Source organism: Homo sapiens, chromosome X (assembly GCF_000001405.40).
Source record: "Homo sapiens chromosome X, GRCh38.p14 Primary Assembly".
Classification (NCBI taxonomy): Eukaryota; Metazoa; Chordata; class Mammalia; order Primates; family Hominidae; genus Homo; species Homo sapiens.
The window spans coordinates 68,706,874-68,726,439 of record NC_000023.11 but is presented as its reverse complement, the minus strand read 5'-3'; the positions used below and the strand labels follow the sequence as shown (position 1 = coordinate 68,726,439).

General features: G+C 53.5%; 1 protein-coding gene across 7 annotated transcripts in view; it reads right to left on the bottom strand.

The window, feature by feature from the left end:
* Positions 604 to 19,566, bottom strand: part of STARD8 (StAR related lipid transfer domain containing 8) — a 78,171-nt gene continuing 59,208 nt past the window's right edge. For 3 of the 7 annotated variants that reach the window (XM_005262314.5, XM_005262315.4, XM_047442679.1), the window contains 13 exons: positions 13,455 to 13,526; positions 11,065 to 11,146; positions 10,009 to 10,072; positions 7,811 to 9,240; positions 7,042 to 7,215; positions 6,017 to 6,176; positions 5,318 to 5,516; positions 4,694 to 4,904; positions 4,279 to 4,393; positions 3,794 to 4,018; positions 2,597 to 2,814; positions 2,319 to 2,495; positions 604 to 2,135 (listed from right to left, as the gene is read on the bottom strand). In XM_005262314.5, the coding sequence (XP_005262371.1) occupies positions 2,018 to 2,135; positions 2,319 to 2,495; positions 2,597 to 2,814; positions 3,794 to 4,018; positions 4,279 to 4,393; positions 4,694 to 4,904; positions 5,318 to 5,516; positions 6,017 to 6,176; positions 7,042 to 7,215; positions 7,811 to 9,240; positions 10,009 to 10,072; positions 11,065 to 11,146; positions 13,455 to 13,526 (3,245 nt within the window). In that variant the 3' untranslated portion in view covers positions 604 to 2,017. The remainder of the gene's footprint in view (positions 2,136 to 2,318; positions 2,496 to 2,596; positions 2,815 to 3,793; positions 4,019 to 4,278; positions 4,394 to 4,693; positions 4,905 to 5,317; positions 5,517 to 6,016; positions 6,177 to 7,041; positions 7,216 to 7,810; positions 9,241 to 10,008; positions 10,073 to 11,064; positions 11,147 to 13,454; positions 13,527 to 19,566) is intronic. The other 4 variants (NM_001142503.3, XM_011531069.4, NM_001142504.3 and 1 more) reach the window with 2 other exon arrangements.

The following is a 19,566-nucleotide window of genomic DNA, read 5'->3' as shown; positions in this document are numbered from 1 at the left end:
TCTCTCTAGCTGCTCTTCGGAGCCTGGGAATTTTATGGCCATATAACATGATAGAGGAAAGCCCCTTCCTTCGGGGAAGTCAAGATGAGAGGGTCTCTCTAGCCCCCTGGGCTTTGCTGGTCACTGGAGCCAGACCAGAGGCTGCCTTAAGGCACTCCGACCTCTTAGGTTGGCTTACAGGTGGCACAGGGCCCCCTAAGCCTCCTGGGGCTGGGACTTCACTCTTCATTCAAGCTGTTTAGAAGGGGAAGGAATGGCCGCTTAGCCAGGCTCACCTCTCCCTAGGATGCCTGAGGTCATGCTTGTGGCCAGGTCATGAGATGGGGTTTGCAGCTTCTGCCCAAGTTCCGGCTAACTTTCCACCCCTTCTCTGCCCCACCCCCCCACCACCATGTCTGGCTGCAAATCCCTCTCCAAAGAGAAGAGCTGAGGCCCTCCCCATTCCTCTTGTGGACTCACCCAAGTCCTGCTGCCGGTAAGCTAGGACTCAGCAGAGGGTGGGGTGAATGCTTAATGCTCTGAGCCCTAACACTGAAGCCTCAGTCACAACCCCAGTCCCCAGTCCCTAGCCCATTGTCAGCAAAGACAGCCACACAGTTAAAGTGCATCTCTGGTAATGCTTTATTGATTTGAGGGATCCTGCTGCACCTGGCTCCCTACCTCTCCATTCTCATCTGAAGTGCCCCTCAGGCCTTCCAGACACTTGCCCCCACCAGAGATTATAATACACTCATGAGAATTGATATATGTGTGTGTCTGTGCAAATGCGTGTGTGTATATATATGTATGTGTATATATATACACACATATATATGTGTGTGTATCTCTATAAACACATATACACACACACACACACACACATATATATATATATATATATATATTAGCTGTACAGTATTTACAGGTACAAATAAAATAGGCTTGAAAATTACAGTGGTGGTTGGGACCCATCTCATTTCAGTTTACTCAGCAGATAGAAAAATAAAGCACCAGTGGCCTTTGAATGGCATTTGAATTTCCATGTGAGCAAAGATGGCTGGCCAGTGGGACAGAACAGGTTTGGCTTAAGCTCCAGCTGGCTAAGATAGGCCCTTCCATCTGGCTGGCCCAGGGGCCAGGTCTCTGCTTGAGAAAGGGGCTGTTATGTTAGCCCACTACCATAAGCAAAAGGGATGATGACATAGACCCTTGTCTCTTAACCACACTCTGCTTTTGCTTGGCCTGGGCAGTGTCAGTGCGTGGCCAAAGGCTACACAGGACCCCATGGGGTGGTCGATAAAGTGTGAAACCCAAGTCAGGGAATACTGGTTTCACTGGCATCTCGAGACTTGAGAAAGGAAGGTACTCCACTCTCACATCCCTATCTATGCCAAATCGTCATGTCACATATTAGGGGCCCGTCAGTGCCCACTCTTAACTCAGCCTCATAAAATTCAGCATCGTATTTACACAAATGAAACAGCTCGTGGTGACTGGGGCTGCCCTGCGCTCCACCCCTGTGCCCATTCACTCCAGTCCAATTCCTCTGAAAAAGACACTTCAGAGCCAGCGTTGGCCCCAAAGGCAGGACCAGAACCTCCTGTCCAACCTCAAAAGCATCCTTGCAGCAAACAAGACGGCTTGCCCTCTCAGTCTGGCAGAGAGCTGGGATCACACATTGCTGTCGACCTCTTTGCCCCTGCAGGCGGGGAGCTGTGGAGGCTTCATGCCAAGTGGCGGCCTCACAAGCAGGTGGCTGGTGGCAGCAGTCTTGCTACTCATGCGATTCTCTTCTCTTTTCGGGAGAGTAGAATACAGGGTTGGGGGTGAAGGGGGAGTGGAGTTGCCTAAATTCTCTTTTTCTCCCCTCTATGTGCAGAGGAGCTTTAGGAAAGGGGACAGGACAGGCAGCTGGAGCCACCTGGGCCTGGCTCTGCTCCTGACAGCGGCACCCAGGGGGCTGCCCTGCTCTTATTCCCCCTCGCTCCCTTGGTGCCCAGGGGGCCTGGGTGGTGCCACCCTGGGACCAGCCCAAGGCTCACAGCTTTGTCTCAGGGCCCGCTGCCTGCAGGGTGGGGAAGGAGTCCCGGATCTTTGCCACTTCCATGGCACACAGGTGTCCAAAGACTTTGTTGTACCAGTCAGGAGAACGGCCCCTAGGGAAGCAGAAGAAACCAGGCATGAGCAATGGATTTTTCCCCAGAGCCCTCACCAGGGAGAAGGAAGAAAGGACTTGTCCCCAGCCCCAGGGATCAATAGCATGGGGCAGAAAGTAGGGGCAGAGGCAGGGGAGGGGGTCAAGGCCAAGGGGGTCGAGCAGGCTGTCCCAGGCCTGATACCTGAGGTCAGCCCGGCAGATGTGTGTGAGCCGAGAGCGGCCCAAGCCGCAAGGCTCCATGAGGTACTGGGATGTGAGCATGAGGGCTCGCACACCCGACTCTGGCACAGGTTGTTCCGGATCCAGGGACTGGGAGACAAGCAGGCAACCCCCACGAGGCAGGTCAGAGCGCCACATCCTATTGGAGAAGGGACACGTAGGCTCAGATTCCTAGTGCTGGTTTCCACCCCACTTCTCCGGCCCCCCAAGCACAGAAGGGTAGCAGCTGCAGCCCCTCACCGAAGCACCACAAAGTCGCGGCAGGGATGGGGTGCCATGCTGTCGGTGACATAGTGGTACAGCTCCACACCCGGCATCAGGGCTTCCAGCACCTGGGCCCGCAGCAGATCCTCATCCCAGAGGGCCCGCTCCCGGAGAACACGATGCAGCACCACAGCTGGGGGGGCTGCCACCTCTGTGGATGCCTTCCATAGCCGCAGGGGGTGCCCATCCGGTGCCTGTGAGCCACAGGAGTGGGGATGGGGGCAGCTGTCAGGGCTGGAGAACTCTGACTCCAGCCCTAAGTCCAGGCCTCAAACTGCAGGGCCTGAGGCTTAATAGGGTAGGCTGCAGAGCTCCTCTGCTAGCGCTGGCCAGACTGAGACAGTGCTCCCATGCTCCCTGCCCTCTCTCTCTCTTTTCTGGATGTCTGCTTTTCAGTCTGTTAGACAGCATAAAGAGATGACGGGGCACACATTCTCAGAGGCCTCTCAGGCCCTACCATGATGGGCACAGTGCTTGGAGGTGCAGGAAGATGGTGATTGTCAAGGAGCTTGCCATCTAGCACAGGCAGTAAAACACATGCACAACAAAAGCTGCCACTTACAGAACCTTTAGTATGTACCAGGCATTCACACTCACCCTGATCCTACATGGAAGGTTTTGTTATGACCATTTTTTTACACAGGACACTTCAGGCTTGCAATCTTACTCAGAATCCACGTCCAAGAAAGAGCATGACCAGTGCCCAGAGGGGAACAGAGAGAAATCCCCTCCATCCTGGGGCATGACAGAAGGTTCTGAATGGAGGAGGAACACATTCCGTTGTCGCTAAAGGTGACTCGGGAGACGTAATGCTTGGGGTCAGGGCAGTCCAGGCAGCAGGACCGCACAAAGGTGCAAATGCAAGGATTCAGCTGGACTGCGGGGCAGGGAGAGATGGGAGTTGAGGCTATCAAAGCAGCATCGTATCTGGAACGGGGCTTTTGGAAGGTCATTCTGGCAGGTGGTTCCTGAGAGAGTTCCCTTGGTCTCATTTGGTTCTTGATTCCTTAAGGTACTTTCTTGACTCTCTGACATTCTCCAAGGACCAGGCCGAGGCACAGCGAGACTCAGGCGGCAGCTCCTCCCCGGCTCCTTCCTTTGGGTTCTCTGACTACCCTTGCCTGCACCATGCTCTCCCAGCCCCATAGCAGCCACCCGTGGTGTGGCACTCACCTTCCTGCAAGCCAGCTCCGTGTGCTGGGGCCCTGGCACGCTCATCCAGCCCTTGAAGCGCTCAGCAGCATCACGCAGCAGGTCCTGGATATTCTCTTCCATGTAGAGGCTCAGGCTTACCCCTGCAGCTTGGGCCTGACGCAGCTCAGCCAGGGCTGGGCCGGGAGGGCTGAGCTCAGCTGCGCTGTAGGAGCTGCACAGCTGCAGCACCATGTCCTGGGGCACCTGAGAGGGCACACACACAATGGGCTGCAGCTCCAGAGAGCAGGAGACCCCATGGGGTCTGTCAGGTTCACGTTAAGGGCAGTGGAGAGGTGCAGCTACCACAGCAAGGTAGATGAGAAACATTGTGGGGGAAGAGTTGGGGGTATAAGCTTGAGGGGTATGTGTCAAATTGGGTCCTATCCCTGACTTGGGGCACCGAGGTCAGGCCTGATGGTTCCCCCAGGTCTGGTAAGTAGGTGTCATGGCCTGGGGTTACTCACCTGGAAAAGTTTCTTGCAGTCACTGATCATGTGCGACAGGCCCTGGGTGGCTGCCATGTTGTCACTCAGGTCCCTAGGGCCTGGCCTGCCAATGAGGCTGCGTTTGCTCTTGATCCTAGATGGAGCAGGAGGTGGTGAGAGGAGAGATGGCACAAGAGCACAAGACAAGATGGCAGACAGGCTGCCTTCTAGCTGCCAGGAAGCCACTTTGCCAAACCTGGCCACAAAACAACCTGCTGCCTTTTGGAAGGCCCTGCTCCACAGCATCCCACCAGCCCAGGGCCCCTGAGGAGTCAGGCTCACTCCTTGTGGTGAGGCTGAGACACAGCAGTGCCAGCCATCAAAAGCCAAAAGTCCAGTGGGGCCCAAATTGTCTGGACCCAGCCCGGCCCTGACATGCCGTGCACCATTTCACCTGGGAGAGGGGCTATCCTTCTTAGAGACATTGAGGTGGAAGATGGAGGGCGCCAGGCACACTGCCAGGTTGCCTGCTGTCATCTGGTTTTCCTCGGCAGAGGCAATGTCACTTAAGAAGTAGAGCAGGGTCTGTAGCACCTCTCGGTTCTCATCGGGGAGCAGCAAGGTGGCGGCTTGTGCTGCTGCCAACCACTGATCCTTGGGGAGGACTGTGAGGAAGCAATGGAAGAAGAGCCTTCCTTACTTCCCCAGAGGCCTTAGCAGCCAGCCTCCTGTTTCCAAGGGGGCAAAAGGCACAGCAGTCCCAAGGGGAGCGGTGAGAGGGAAGGGAAAATGTCAGTTCTGTGAGGTCTCTGGGTGCTTGATCTAGCTTTATTACTAACATACAGTGTAACCTTATGTAGTTCTTCCCTCAGGGCCTCAGTCTACCTTTCCATATAATGGGTTTGGGGAAGCAGAATGGTCTCTCTGCAAGGGCCATTCCAACTCCAGATAGTAACTGTTCCAATCAGCTCACAGGTCCAGCTACATTTGCCTGCACCAGGTTTATCTTCCACAAGTTCTGGGATTCAGGGAGGTTGAGAATGGGACAGGTTGTTGGGGATAGGAGTGGGCGACTCACGCTGGTAGATCTGGAGGAAAGTGGTGGTGAGCTTGCTGGTGAAGATGGGCTCAGGCAGGTCCCGGAAATACTGCTTTAGCAGGTCAGCCACGTCGTAGGCTGACTGGCCCTCGTAGCAGACATTGTCAGGCGAGGTCTCATTCATTTGACGCAGGTTCTGGATCCTGGACTTGACCCCAGACTTGCGGAAGATGCCTACCTACTCCATGCAGGGGAGGGAGGGAGTGAGGAAAACATGCATGAGTAGGAGGCAGACTGTGAGGCCAGCCCTAGACTGGGTGTCAGGAGCCTAGGCCACCCCAGAGACTTCAAAGCTTATCAGGCCTCCTGAGGGGCAGGGTAGGAGACAAATGGGAAAACCAAAGAGAAGGATTTTTACAGCTTCAGGACAAAAGAAAAAAGATGCTTTTGTGGAGATGAGTAGAAAAAGGTGGATCTAGGCAAATTCAGGCTCCCAGAAGATAAGGACTACAGAGCCTGGGCCAGAAAGAAGGTAGCACAGAGCTGGGCATAAGGAGTAGAAAGGAGTTTCATCCTTGCTGGTCCTTGCTGAGAACAGCAAAGGCCTCTGGTGGACCAGCCCAAGTGAGGGGGAAGGCCAGAGCAGTTCCTCTCCCCAGCTCCTCAGCCTTCAGCCCAATGCCCACCACCACCCCACCCCTGCACCATCTCCCGGCAGGCTGCCCCACGAGGGCTCACTTGGTCCAGGCACTGGCTGCGCAAGTAGCGCATGGCTTGCTGAATGCTCTGTGGCAGTGGCTGGCCCGTGCGCTGCACGTGGATGAGGGGTGGCACCCCAAATACGTGCTGTCCCCGGTAATCTGGGGTCTTGTTCCTCCTCATGAACTTGGGCATTGACCTGTTTGGGAGAATGACAAGTGATCAGATAGGGGGAACACAGTTTGGAGACTCTGCCTGCAGTCTCAGAGGATCAGGTGGGGTGAGGGGGGTAAGGCACACACCACTGCCCCAGAGTCAACACTCATTGAGCACCTGTTTTGGGCCCAGCCCCAGGGAGTCACAGAGGAACACAGAGAGCTCTCAGTCTGGCCAAGGAGATAACTGTGTCAATAGGCAGTAACAACTCATGTGGCCAGTAGGAGGCCAAGAACTTAGGGGAAGACCCATTGAGGGAGGGGAACTGTACCTAGTGAGTTAGGGAAGGCTTCGGAGAGGACGTGGTAACTCAGCAGGCTCTTGAGGGATAGGAAGGCATTGTCCCAGAGGAGAAATGGGGAAAATGCATTCCAGGCAGAGAGCACAGCACAAACAAAGGCAAAGAGGCAGGAAAAAGATCATAGCACGTTCACGGAAGGATGACTGGTCCCACTGGTCTGTAAGGTGGGGTTGCTTAGGAGCGGTAGGCTAAAGAGCCAGAAGGATGGAGCGGGACCAGAACAGGAAGGAGTCATGGTGGGAGGGAATCTGGACAATGGGGAGCCAGAGAAAAGTGTTTATCTGGAGAGTGACAACCACAGCTGCATTTTAGGACAATCTCACTAGTTGCAGCACAGAGATTGGGATGGAGAAGATACAGCTGGAGGACCTCAGGTCCTCTGCCCCATACCCAGCCTCACCAAGCCCCTCCAGCCTCCTGGCATATCTCACCGCTCCCCTGGCCTGTGGGCCCTGCCTGCCTGCACCCACCTCCTGGGCTGACCCTGCCTGGGGACGTGGACCTGAGTCAGCAGTTCCCCACCCTCCATGGCCCAGGAGCCACTCACCAGACCCAGCCCTGCTTGTGGGGCACAGTGTACTTCTCCATGAACGCGGTAAGCCGCAGCAGTGAGCCCTTGTGCAGGAGGTTGATCTGGCCTGCAAACTGCCGGTTGATCTCCAGCGACTCTGAGTTGAGGCTGGGACGATGGGAGTTCTGGAAGCTATGCCAACGGAGCTTCCTGGTGGGGGGCGGTGAGAGGGGTGGAGAAGCCCAGAGGAGCAGGTTTGGCTAAACCTTAGAAAAGGTGTTATTGTGGTCCCCTTTTTTCTCCCCAAAGAAAAAATGCAGGGAGCTGGGAACACTTTCTAGTGCTGCTGCTGAGGCCCCAGGGTGGAAAAAGCTTGGACTCAGCTTCTTAGGGGCCAAGAAGTTCTTGGGGAGGGTGGCACAGAGCTCAGGCCCATCTAGTGCCAATAAGCAGTGAAGACCCCTGCCCATCCCAAGACTACTGTGGAGGGGCTGCTCCAAGAAACCCTGAATGGGCAAAGCTGGGGACCAGAGACCATCTCCTCTAGCATCCTCCCTCACTTTACAGATGAGGAAACTGAGGCCCAGAGAGGAGAGCATCATTTCCTCAAGGCCACAGCACAGGCAGGTTCTGGACCTAACTTTCTGGATTCCCAAGTCCTGTACTCTCTCTCCTGAGCTGGCTGTGAGGGGATAACGCAGCCGCCAAGCACTTAGCCCTGGGCCTCATGACTGAGAAATCAGCTTCAGAGACAGAGAGAGAACAGGAGACCCTGCGTCCGCCCCATCCCAACCCAAACTCTCACCTGCAGGGTCTGGTAAGTGAGGCCCCAACACCTGAATCGCGCCGTTCACGGGGCATTGATGCCTGGAGTCCAGCCAGGGGCCCCGCAGCCTCAGCCTCATTCATGGAGTTCCCACTACTGTCAAGTTCGCTGGAGGAGGCCACAGTGTCAGAAATGGAGTGTCCTTCTTCCACAGACAGGCTAGAGGCAAAGGTGGGTTCCCCGCCTGAATGTGCCTCCTGCTCACTGTCCTGGGCTGGGGCCGGGGCCGGGGCTGGGGCCGGGGCCTCAGCCTCTTCCTGTGCCACTGGTTCAGCCTCAGCTGGAGCCTGAGCCGGAGCCAGGACTGCTGGCTGGACTTCAGCCTGGGCCCAGGCTGGGGACTCTCCATGGGCCGGAACCTCCATCTGGCTGAGAGCCTCAGCTTGGCATTTGACCTCAACTGTGGCTATTTCTACTGATGAAGTGGCCTCCTCCTCTTCCTCATCTCCAGGCCCCAGGTCTGGGTACATGGCCCGAGACCACAGCTCTACTCGTTGCTGTAGCCCCCACACGTGCTGGAGGATGTCGTCTAGGTGAGCATAGCTGCCCCCACTCTCCTCATCATCTTCATCTTCAGCCTCAGCCCCAACCATTACAGGCTCAGCTGGGTACAGCTCAGGCAAGTTGTCATACGTGCTGGCATGGCTGCCCGTTGAGCCACAGGAGCCCCGGCGCCCCTCACAGCCCCACCGCCTACCTGGCTGCCAGTCTGCCAGGCGGTGTCCATCCTCAGGACACAGGCTCTCAATGGACAGGGAGCGAGGGAATGTGCCTGGTTTGTGGTCCCCAGGAACGTGCACCAGGCAATCACCCCGGTGTGTCCACTGAGGATGCCGGAACGAGGCCACAGGCCAGGCCTCCCAGGCCTTCCGAGTATTGGCACCACTGCCACCGGCTGAGGTGGCGGCCCAGTTCTTGGCCCTGTAAAATCCAGCTGAGAGGAAGCCACGACAACTGCGGAAAGATGAGGCTTTGGAGACCTTCTCTGAGGTGGCTGGACTATGCTTGGGCTCTGCTTGCTGGCTGCCACTCTTTTCCTTCCGCCTCAGAGATTCAAGGTGCTTGAGGAAGCTACGGTTACGATGGCGCTTCTTGGCTTTGTCCTGGGGACCCTCCTGGCCCTGGGTGGGGCTGAGGAGGGGCCGGTCACTCGAGCTGGGGGCACGGCCTGGCAAGGGCAAGTCTGCTGGCTCGGGTGGTAGGCTCACGGTGATGACTGGCAGAGAGGTGGCACTAAGCTCGGTGAGGACGCTCTCACAGCTTGAGGTCGCTGGCAGGCCAGGGCTCGGTGGGGCCAACAGATCAGAGGACCCCATAGGAGACCAGCACTTACTTTCCTGCTGGAAGGCCCAGTGGCTACTGATGGTACACTGCTCTTCCTCTTCTGAGTCTTCATTCTGGGAAAGGCACTGCAGGATCAGGTCAGAGAAGCCCAGGCCACAAGTCCTTGCTTGTACTCCACTCTCTGCTTCCAAACTCTTGGGGGACTCTGAGGTGAAGGGCCCTGCTTTCTGGCTGAGAACATGGCCTAGGTGGGGAGAGCTAGCTCTGGGAGTGCCAGAGGAAGCCAGCAGTCACAGACAGAGCCCAGATGTATGGTAATGGTAATGGTCAACTAATTAATCTAACCCCCCTTCCAATTTTACAGATAGGAAAACAAACCTACAAACCAGAAGCCACTTGCCCAAGGTCAATGATATACATTAAGTCAGTGACAGACCTTCCCAAGCTCTAGGCTGTAGTCTTAGATTAGAATCACAACAGAGCTGGACGGAATTGGAGATTTTCTAGTTCATCTCCTTCTTTGCAAAATGGGGAAACTGAGGCCCAGAAGGGAAGAGGTTTCCCTGAGGTCCCTCAGTAATCAGTGGTAGAGCTGAGACCAGGCCCCATGGGCCTCCTGTCTCACAGCCCAGGGCTTTGGTCACTTGGCTGCCCCACCTGACTACAGGCCTCTGGTATAGAAAGCCCCAGAAAAAAAAAAGCAAGAAAGCAAGTTCCCAGGAAAGAATGGGGTCCTAGATCTCCTCCATCTCTACCCCTAGCTGGGGAAAGGCACTGCTCTGGACATCTCAGACTCCTGGGATACTGGAGCTAGTTTTACAAATGGTTTACGTATGCCCTGGGTTTCCTTATGGCACCACAAGACCACAGACCCACGCTTTGCCATGACTCACCTGCTTGCTTTGAAAATGAACCTCCAGTTTCATCGAGGCACAATTATTCAAGGTCATCAGCCTCCTGTAACAAAATGGAAGTGTCCAACCAAGGGTCCCCATCCCCAAAGCCTGGCAGAGCCTACCAAGATGCACCTGCCACTTCACATGCCCAAGCCATCAAAACTTCTCGCAAGCTCCAATATTCGTGAAGGTTTAAGAACCAGACACAATGCTGGGAAGATTATGGCCTCTGCCCTCCAGGAGCTTACAAAGAGAGTGGAAATAAACCCTACAGAAATGGGGCGTGTTCAAAGACAGAGCAGACAGAAGGCACAGCAGACAAACACAGGGAGAGACAAGCAACTTCCATGAAGGAGGGATGCAGTCAGAGAAGGCTTCCTGGAGGATGCAAATGGGATTTTGAAGGTGAGAGAAACAGGGACTCTTACCCAAGCTTACACAGGACACTGTAGGTATACAGTCAGCAAACAGACCAGTGTGGGCATGAGACCAATGGGGCTAAGGCTAATGAGCCAGCTCGCAAAGGGCTTTGGGTGGTATGCTAAAAAGTCTTTGCATTTTTATCCTTAGGCAGTGACACATTTTAAGCAGAAAGAACAACCATTTGGAGCTGTTACAATGCGACGCTGGTGGATCTAGATCGATCTGGGAGTAGGGTGAGGGAAGAGGGAGAGGGGAGGGGAGAGATGGGCTATCAAGACTAAAGCCAGTTAGGCTGAAGCCTTGTGATCGATCCAAGGAGAAGCCATGGTTTGGCCTCAAACAAGGGCCAAGCTGGTGTAAGTAGAGAGGGACTGAAGCAGAGGAATATTTGGGGGCTATAACTTTAGGAGAAAAGAAACAAGGCCAGATCTTGGCTTTCTAGCTAGAGTGACTGGGTGGTTGAGGGTATCACAAACACAAAGAACAGAATGAGCAATGTGACCACAGAAGATGAGCTTTGTTAGTAAGCTGGGCTCCTCCTCTGTTAGAGGGTACAAGGGATGTTTTTTTCCACGAGGAAGCTTCAAGCCAGGCCTTTGGCTTCCCAGGCCTGGCCCTCAGCCCACCTACCTACACAGGGCCCCCAAAGAGTCCTCGTCCAGAAAACCGTGGTTTTTCTTCACAGAGCCAATATCCAGGGGAAACGAACCTTCTGTATGGCAGAGAGAAGCAAAGATGAGTGCAGTGGTATATCACAAACTCAGCCTCAGCAGCCCTTGGGCTGGAAGGGAACGGCCAGGAAGGAGGGGGAGCAGGAAGACAAGAGGCAAAGCAGAAGGAAAAAAAGTCAGGAATAAAGGAGGGTGCCCAGGGAGTTCAGGGAAAGGTCTGGGAGAGGCCTAGAGGGCTGAGCTGGACCCAAAGAACTCTGTCAGTCAGTAAGGCAGGTCCATGGGAGATAGCAGGCCCAAGACCCCGGGTGGCTGCCAAGAGCCCAACACGGGCTCCCCCATTCCCCTTTGAATCCTGGGCTGCTCAGGCAGGGAAACTTCTCCTTGGCCCAAGGTGAACTTGGGGGAGTAGGGTGGGAGCAAGGACAGAAGGGACAGGACAGCACAGTAGCCAAACAATACCTTGCATCCCCCTGTGGCCCAGAGCACACTCCCTGGGACTTAGGGAGGGGAGAGGGGAAAGAAAGGAGTTGGGGGAATGGAAGAGAGAATCTGAGAAGTCTCACAGCTCTCTACCTTACTGGTGAAGCAAGCCCATTTGTTCCTTTACTCATTCAACTAATGAGTATCCAATTGAGCATTTACTTTGTGCCAGACACTTGAGCAAACCATACAGCATACAACAGTGAACACAACAAAAACGGTTCCTGCCTTCTTGGAGTTTACACTCTTAAAGGAAAAAGATAAGCAACAGTACTTAAAACCAAGATGGTGCAGTCATGGAAGACATCAGCCAGCATGATAGTGTAAAGGGAGGCTGGTAGGGGTGGAGGCTGCTTGTAGAGAGGTGGTCAGCAGAGAGCTTTCTGAAAGCAGTGACATCCGAGCTGAGTCCTGAAAGATGAGAAGCAGCCAGCTGTGCAAGGAAACTGCAGAGAGAGTTCCAGGCAGGAGGAACATCAGCATCAAGGCTCTGAAGAGGGAAAGAGCTTGGTGTGAGCAAGTGTAGAGAGGAGCCCTGTGAACAAAGGTAAGAGTAATCAATGGAAGTTGGAGAATGCAGTCTGACAGGCCAGAGCAGAGTGTCTGTGTGTATTACATTCTGAGTGTGCTGGGAGGCCATCGGAGGGTTTGGAGCAGGAGTGACAGTCAGACCTATGGCCAAAAAGAGCCCTCCAGCTGCAGTGTAGAGATGAGAGTGCAAGAGCACAGGAAGCTGCTGCACTAGCCCAGGTGAGCTGTGACACTGGGTCACACCAGGCTGTGGCAGTGGAGGTAGTAAGCAGTGGATTGATTCAAGATACGTTCTGGAGGGAAAAAGGTCTTGCTGAAGGGTTAGAGATAGGAGATGGGAACAAGGAGGAATTAAATTAAGGATGACTCCTGGGTATGGGGCTTGAGCAAGTGGGTAAATGGTGGTACCATCATGAGTTGGTTTCAGACCTGTTTAATCCGAGACACCAATCAGACATCTGAGTAGAGAGATTGAATTGGCAGCTGTGAATATATGAATCTGGAGCTTGGGGATGAGGTCTGGACATTTGGAAGTCATCAGAATATGGATAGTACTTAGACAAAGATCTCATGAGAAAGAAATGTTGAGAGAGAAGAGGGCCCCGGACAGAGCCCTGGGATATCCTAAACTTTAGATATCAGTTAGAGGAAGCAGAGTCAGCTAAGGAGACAGAACCCAGCCAGAGAGGCAGCCAGGAAAGGGGGGCATTCCAGAAGCCGAAGGAAGGAGTGGCCAGTGGCACCGAATGCTGCTGAGAGATGGAGCAAGATGAGGACTGGGAAGTGACCACTGAGTGTGACCACATGGAGGTCACTGGTGAATTGACCAGGCAAGTTGACCAGGCGAGGTGGAGGTGAAGCCAGGGTGCAGTAGGGGTGTGGGGAGAAAAGGGGAAGGGAAACAGCAAGTGCGAAGAACTCTAGAAAAACCCGAAAGAGAAATGAAGGAAAACAGAGAAATGAGGCCATCACTGTGGGGCAAGTGAGGCCAAGCCTGGGCCACCAGGGTGTACAACTCCAGGCGGCATTCTTCACACCGTGTGTACCTACATGGCATCCTCAGGATTGGTACCACGTGATGACCCTGGTCAAGACAAGGTACTTTAAAGGCATGGGCAACAGCAGAGCTTGTGGCAGTTGTGAGAGCAATCCCTTAGAGATGATGCAGGAGAGAAAGGTGCAACTGCAGGAGCAAAGTCCCTGAAAAAAATCGGAGCAGGGCCAGGAGACACTGCTTGTGTGTAGTTGGAAAGAGAATCTGACTTGCCCCATCTAACAGATGAAAAACTGAGGGCTAGGGGAAGTATGGGAGGGTAAACAGTTGAGTGGCCTTACCTTCAAAAAGCTGCACATACTGAGGGAATCCTGTTGCTTGAAGCCACTCACATGCTCTTTTGGCCTCGGCTTCTAAAACAGAACAAGGGAAAGAAACAGGCAAAGAAATGGGGTTAGGAGGGTGCTGACACCAGGGCCCTAGGTGCATGCTGCCCAACCCCAGCAGGCAGACATGTCTCATTCTGGTGATCTAGCAATGGCAAGAGAAGGCCAGAGGTCCTAGCACATTTGCTCCAAGTCATAGCCAGCCAGGAGGCCCTCTGCTCCCCAAGCCCTACTGTCTGGGCATCCTGGCCCTGGCTTTCTTGAGTCTCATTCCCTGCCTGTTCCAAACCCCTCCCACTCTCCCACCCCCTGCCCAGGAACCAGGATCATCTGGGGTCAAGGAGGCCTGCTGGGATAAGAAGCCACAGCTGTGTCCACCCCCGAGCCTTTCTGAGGGACTCACCCCCTTCCAAGGCCCTGGGTAGACCACCTTAGCCCAGGCAGGAAGTAGAAATGTTCAACCATTCCTATCATTCTCTTTCTCATCATCGCATCTAACATTCTTCAGCACTTTGACAGCCAACTCTCATTTCACACACACAATAACTGGTGATGGCTTTGCTATCCCCATTTTACAGACAAACAAACAGGCTCAGCCTATGGTCTCACAGTGGACAAAGCAGCAGTGCCAGGGTTGGAATCCCAGCTGAGTCTGACAGCAGCACCCCCATGCTCATTATAGTCCTCCCTCCTCAGGGAGCTTCCCAGTACTGCCCCAGCCCTCTTGGCCTATTTGTGTCATAGTGCAGTGCTGAGTGTCATGAAGACACAGTACTGGCCTGTCGGGGTCTTGGGGGGCCATGGCTAGGTCAGCCTGTCGCCTCTGCTCTGGGAGTTCTGGCACAGAGCTGAGCACCCCTGCCAGCACCAGCAGAGATGTGCAGCTGGACTAAAGCCACAGAGGAGGCGCTCCTAGTCAGGGTAGGCCAAATACCAGCAGCAAAGCCCTGCACCTGCCTGGGCGGTTATTTGCTTCCCACCCAGGTGATGCCAAGATGAATGGGGCTGGGACCATGGGACCTGGCATCACCGGGTTGGTTGGGGAAGTCAGCTGGCTTCAGCAGAGCTGATCCTGCCATGGAGTCCTGCCCCCAACACATCCTCCATTTCCTCAGCACCTGTGGCCACAGTCTCGCCTGGCCCCCCTGACCAGAGGACTCTAAGGAGGCTGGTGAGGTTTTTCCAAGACAGGAAGAGCTCTCTCTTCCCAGTGCTCACTCACAAGGAAACCCAGGATGAAATCCTAGTGGCTGGGACAGATAAGATGAAGGACAAAACAGTATTTCAGAGATGCTAGGTGAGTAGACAGTGGAGGGAAGAGTGGGGGAAGTCAGAAGTCAGTCAGAAAAAGTAATGGGCTCCTCAAGGGTCACACACTGATGAGGATTTGAGGGAAAGAAGAGAGGGCTCTGCAGCCCCTGGAGCCCCTGCAGGTTTTGGGGGCAAATGGGGGTAAGGGCAAGGATGAACATCTCTGCATTTCTGTGAGTGAATGCAACAGGTCAGTGCCCACCACAGCATCTGTCTCTACATGTAGCTGTAGCCAAATCTGCTCATGTCCATGACTCATGAGGATCACTGTGGGACCATGCACCTGTATATACCCACAGGCACCTCAGTCTGTGCATGCATCTGCCTCTCTTTCTCTCTCTGTCTCTCTGTCTCTCTCTCTCTCTCGTCTCTTTCTCTCCGTGTGTGTGTGTGTGTGTGTGTGTGTGCATGCATACATGTATGTTTTATGTTACTGCAACTTCCTAACCTAAGATAGAGATCTAGGAATCGCCAGGACCTCTGAGGGGTCCCTGGAAAGTGTCTGACAGAGCCCTGCTAGCAGTACCTCCACCTGTCTGGCAGGGGGCAATGCAAGCCTGAAAAAGGATCCTGTGCTCCAGGCCAGTGGTAGTCTAGGTGATGTAAGACCAGTCCAAAGGGAGCTGCCCAGGGAGCCTGTGAGGAACATGGTTCTGCTGCTAGGACAGCTGAGCTGGCTGCCACAGCCACTTCCCTGTCCCTGTTCCTGTCATGCCCCTGGGATGAGACCCTTTCCCCATCTTAGCACGCATCCTGGCAGCCAGCTCTGCTTTCCTGTTATTAGGACAAAAGGGAGGTGCCAGAAAATGGACCAGGTTAGGACTTCCAGAGAGGCAGGCGCAGGAGCAGACAGTGGCCCCTAAAGGGTCACAAGTATGGCCACCCCAGGAAAGGGAGCAAATCTCTAGGGTAGGCCTGCATGCCAGGAACACACCCTTAAAATCCCACTGCAGCCCTCAGTTACTCATGGCTAATGGAGAGGGTAGGAGAGGCACCTCCCTCCCCTGATGCTAGGCATTGGCCCTAGCTGGGGGTTGGCAGAAGGGGACCATCTCACTCAGGTCAATGCCAAGTTCTTTCATGACTACCTAGAGCCCTGTAGCCCCTTGCTACTCAAAGTGTAGTCCCAGACTAGCAGCATCAACATCACCTGGGAGCTTGTTAGAAATGCAGAATCCCAAGCCCCACACCCAGAACCACTATATTTAAGAAGACCCTTGGGCAAACACATTAAAGTTTGAAAAGTCTTGGTCTAAATCACATTGCTCAGTGATTCTCACCCCTGGATGCACATAAGAATCAGCTAGGAAGTGTTATTTTAAAAAATACCAGTGCCCAGGGCCCCTTCCCCAGAAGGCTGGCTTAATTGATCTGCGGTAGGACTCTCCACATTGGTATTTTTTAAAAGTTACAGTATAAGGCCTACTGAGGCCCAAGAGACTTTTCCAAGGTCATACAGGGTAAAGTGTCACAGCTGAGACTATAACCCTGATCTTTTCACTCCATGTTCAGTGCTCTTTGCCATTGCATTATGCCACCTGCCCTCATGCCAGCCAAGCAAGGAGCTCAGACTCAAAGGAACCAACCCCAGCCCCCCAGGCTGTTTTCCTGCTCCTTCTGGTCTAGTGGAGTCACAACCCAGGGTTCAAATCCTGATGCTGTCAGTCACTAGCTCTTTGACTTTGGGCGAGTTGTATAACCTCTCCAGGTTTCTGTTTCCTTCTTGGTAAAATAGGAGCCATGGCATCCACATCTTTTTTCTATTTTTATTTTATTTTTCATGTTTATGGGTTTTTTTTTTCTTTTTGAGACAGGGTTTCACTCTGTCAACCAAGCTGGAGTGCAGTGGCGCTATCACAGCTCACTGCAGGCTCAAACTCCTGGGTTTGTGTGATCCTCCCATCTCAGCCTCCTGAGTAGCTAGGACTACAATAGCATCCACCACACCACACCTGGTTAATTTTCTTTTTATTTTTTGTAGAGACAGGGTCTTACTATATTGCCCAGGCTGATATCCATCTCCTGGCCTCCAGTGATCCTCCTGTCTCCCTGTCTCAGCCTCCCAAAGTGCTAGGATTACAGGTGTGAGCCACCACACCCAGCCAGCATCCACATCTTATAGCTACTGAGAGCATTAAATAAAATACTACAGAAAGTAAAAGCCCCTGGCACATAATACCAAGCACTCAACAAATGTGTTCCACCCCAACTCTGACTCTGAAGGGTCCCAAAGAAAAAGAGGAAATTAGAGAAAGAAGCCCAGCTGCTGCGTTCCCCTGTGGGTCCGGACAATGGCTTTGCCCAGACCACTGTCAGAATTGCAGCCAAATGGCTGGGGGAAGTGAGGTAAGGAGCCTTCAAAGAGGCTGCAATTGCTCCAAAGACAAAGGAGCAAAGGAGTTTGGAGTAGGGCTACAGACTGAATTCCCCACCAGCCCTCCTTAACAGGAATCTAGAGAATGTAATGGGTTATTACCAAACAGGATGTCAGGGACATTGGCTCCCCACAATACACCATCTCATGGAGGGCTGGGAGGCCCCGAGGCTCCCTCCCAGATGGATCAGTCAGAGACATATGTCTTGGTGATTAAAGGCTGAACTGAGGTGCTCTGCCTTGTCCCTCCCACTCGTCTCAGCCTACCCAGGCTGAGGCCAGGAGCGACCCCACCCCCACCCCCAGTAGACTCGATTCACCTGGGGCTGAAGCCCAGGTGGCCCGGACTGAGGATGGGCTTATGTATCTGGTGGGGAGAGTGACAACGGGCAGGCTGAGGTGAGTGAGGTAGGAATGTCTGTGGCCCCTTGCCCTACCTCTGTATCCAGATATGCAGATTCCAAGGCATGGCTGCCAGCAGTTTTAAAGGCTATATTCTGCAGGCAGTGCATGCTCTGGCCAAAGCTTAGGTGATGTGCCAGGATAGGTCAGTAACAGCAGTCAGCTGGCACAAACTGGATTCCACTGAGACTTAAGCCCCTGGGGGAGGGGCCCAGATGACCCAGGCTGGGAGAGTCAGGGGAGAGGGCATACTAGAAAGCTCCAGAGTCCAATCAGGCCTCAGAGCCAAACCCACAGGTCTCCTGGAGGGAGCATCAAAGAAGGAAAGGCTGAGCAGCAGCACATGCTTTCTGAGGTCAATGACAGTATCTGCACCTACATTTACACAGGCCACGTCCCAGAGACAGCACAGAGCAGTTTTCTATGCTGAGAAGGATGCAACCAGGAAAAAAGCAGGCCTTCTGGTCTTGAGAAACACTCAAGCATAGGGCTTATGCACCCAGGAAAGAGGCAGCAACATTTCTCACTGGGAGATGCAATAATGCCCAAAGATGATCACTAAGTTGGAAAAAAAGCTTTTTTCTAATCAAGCCAGCTTCCATGCTTGCCACTAAGTCATCTGAGACAACTCGTGTCATTCTCTAAGCTTTGGTTTCCAAATTTATACAGTGGAGACTAACGACTTTCCTGTCTACCACTGTGGTTACCTTATAGATTTGATCGGGCTTTTGCTGGTTTTGAAAGTGGCTATATAAAAGTTATCATTAATGAAGGCTATTTTTGTTAAGATGAGCTGAATTTTGTACCCATCTAGTCTTTAAGACACAGTTCAGATTGTGTACCAGTTGAAAAGAGGTGAGAGAAGAGAGCCAGGAGGAAGAGAGAAGGCAACAGGCATCTAATCTAGACTACAGGAAGTAAGGCCTCAGCCAGCCAGTATCACCAACCCCACTCTTGGGCTGGGTACCCCCTCTTCACACCACTACTAGGCAACCCTAGTCCTTGTACCTTCTGGTCACTCAGTGGGTTATAAGAGAGCTGCCCGGTCCTGGGTTCAGCCTGCTCATGCCTACCCATAAAGACAGTATCAGGCATGGGGACCAGGCGGGAAGATACAGGACTCAAGACAAGCAATGGATGGATGTCACAGGGACATAGATGAAAGCATCCTTTATTACTGCTGGAGCTCTTGGGTGTCCCGTCCCATTCCTCCCTCACCTCTCAAATCTGGCTGCACATTAAAATCTCCTGGGGAGCTTTTACTAATGGGCCCCACCCATGACTAGTTAAATTAAACTCTCTGGGGATAGGGTTCATTTTTGTTTGTTTGTTTTTGAGAGCTCTCCCGGTTCTTCTAAAGTACAGCCTGAGATAAAGACCACCGCCCTAAACAGAAAAGGCCTGCTAGAAAGCCACAGATATAGGTCCCTGGAAAATTCTACCCAGAGACCAGTCACAGGCCTGTTCTATTCATAGGCCCACGTTCTCTCTAGACCTGAGTGCAGGAGCAGGGAGAGTGACCAGCATCAGTGTGAATGTCTATGATGGCTGAGGGAAGGCAGGCAGTCGGTGTTTGTGAAGGTCATTGAGTTAGCTGACCTGCTCCTTAAGGTGACTTTAAACACGTGGTGGCCTCCTTTACCTGACTTAGCTTCCTATTTGGAAAAGCATCTCCTCCGTGGCCCTCGCCAGAGGATGGGGGCCTCCAAAACAGGGTCTGGTCTCCATGTTTGTCTCTCCCACCTTCAGTGAGTGCAGGAGGAAAAGCCAGTGTCCTGAGCGGCGGAGAAAGACCTGTGATGCCACTATCTATGTGACAACCCCAGTTCCCAAGGCAGGCTCTGTGAGGCTGGTCCCTCAAGGCAGGGCTAGGAGGCAGGCAAGGAGTCGCCTACCACTGCAGGCCCTGCTACTGCTGCTCAGAAATGCTAGGCCCTGGCAAACTGCTTCTCAGATCATTTCTTTTGGTTGCTACAAGGC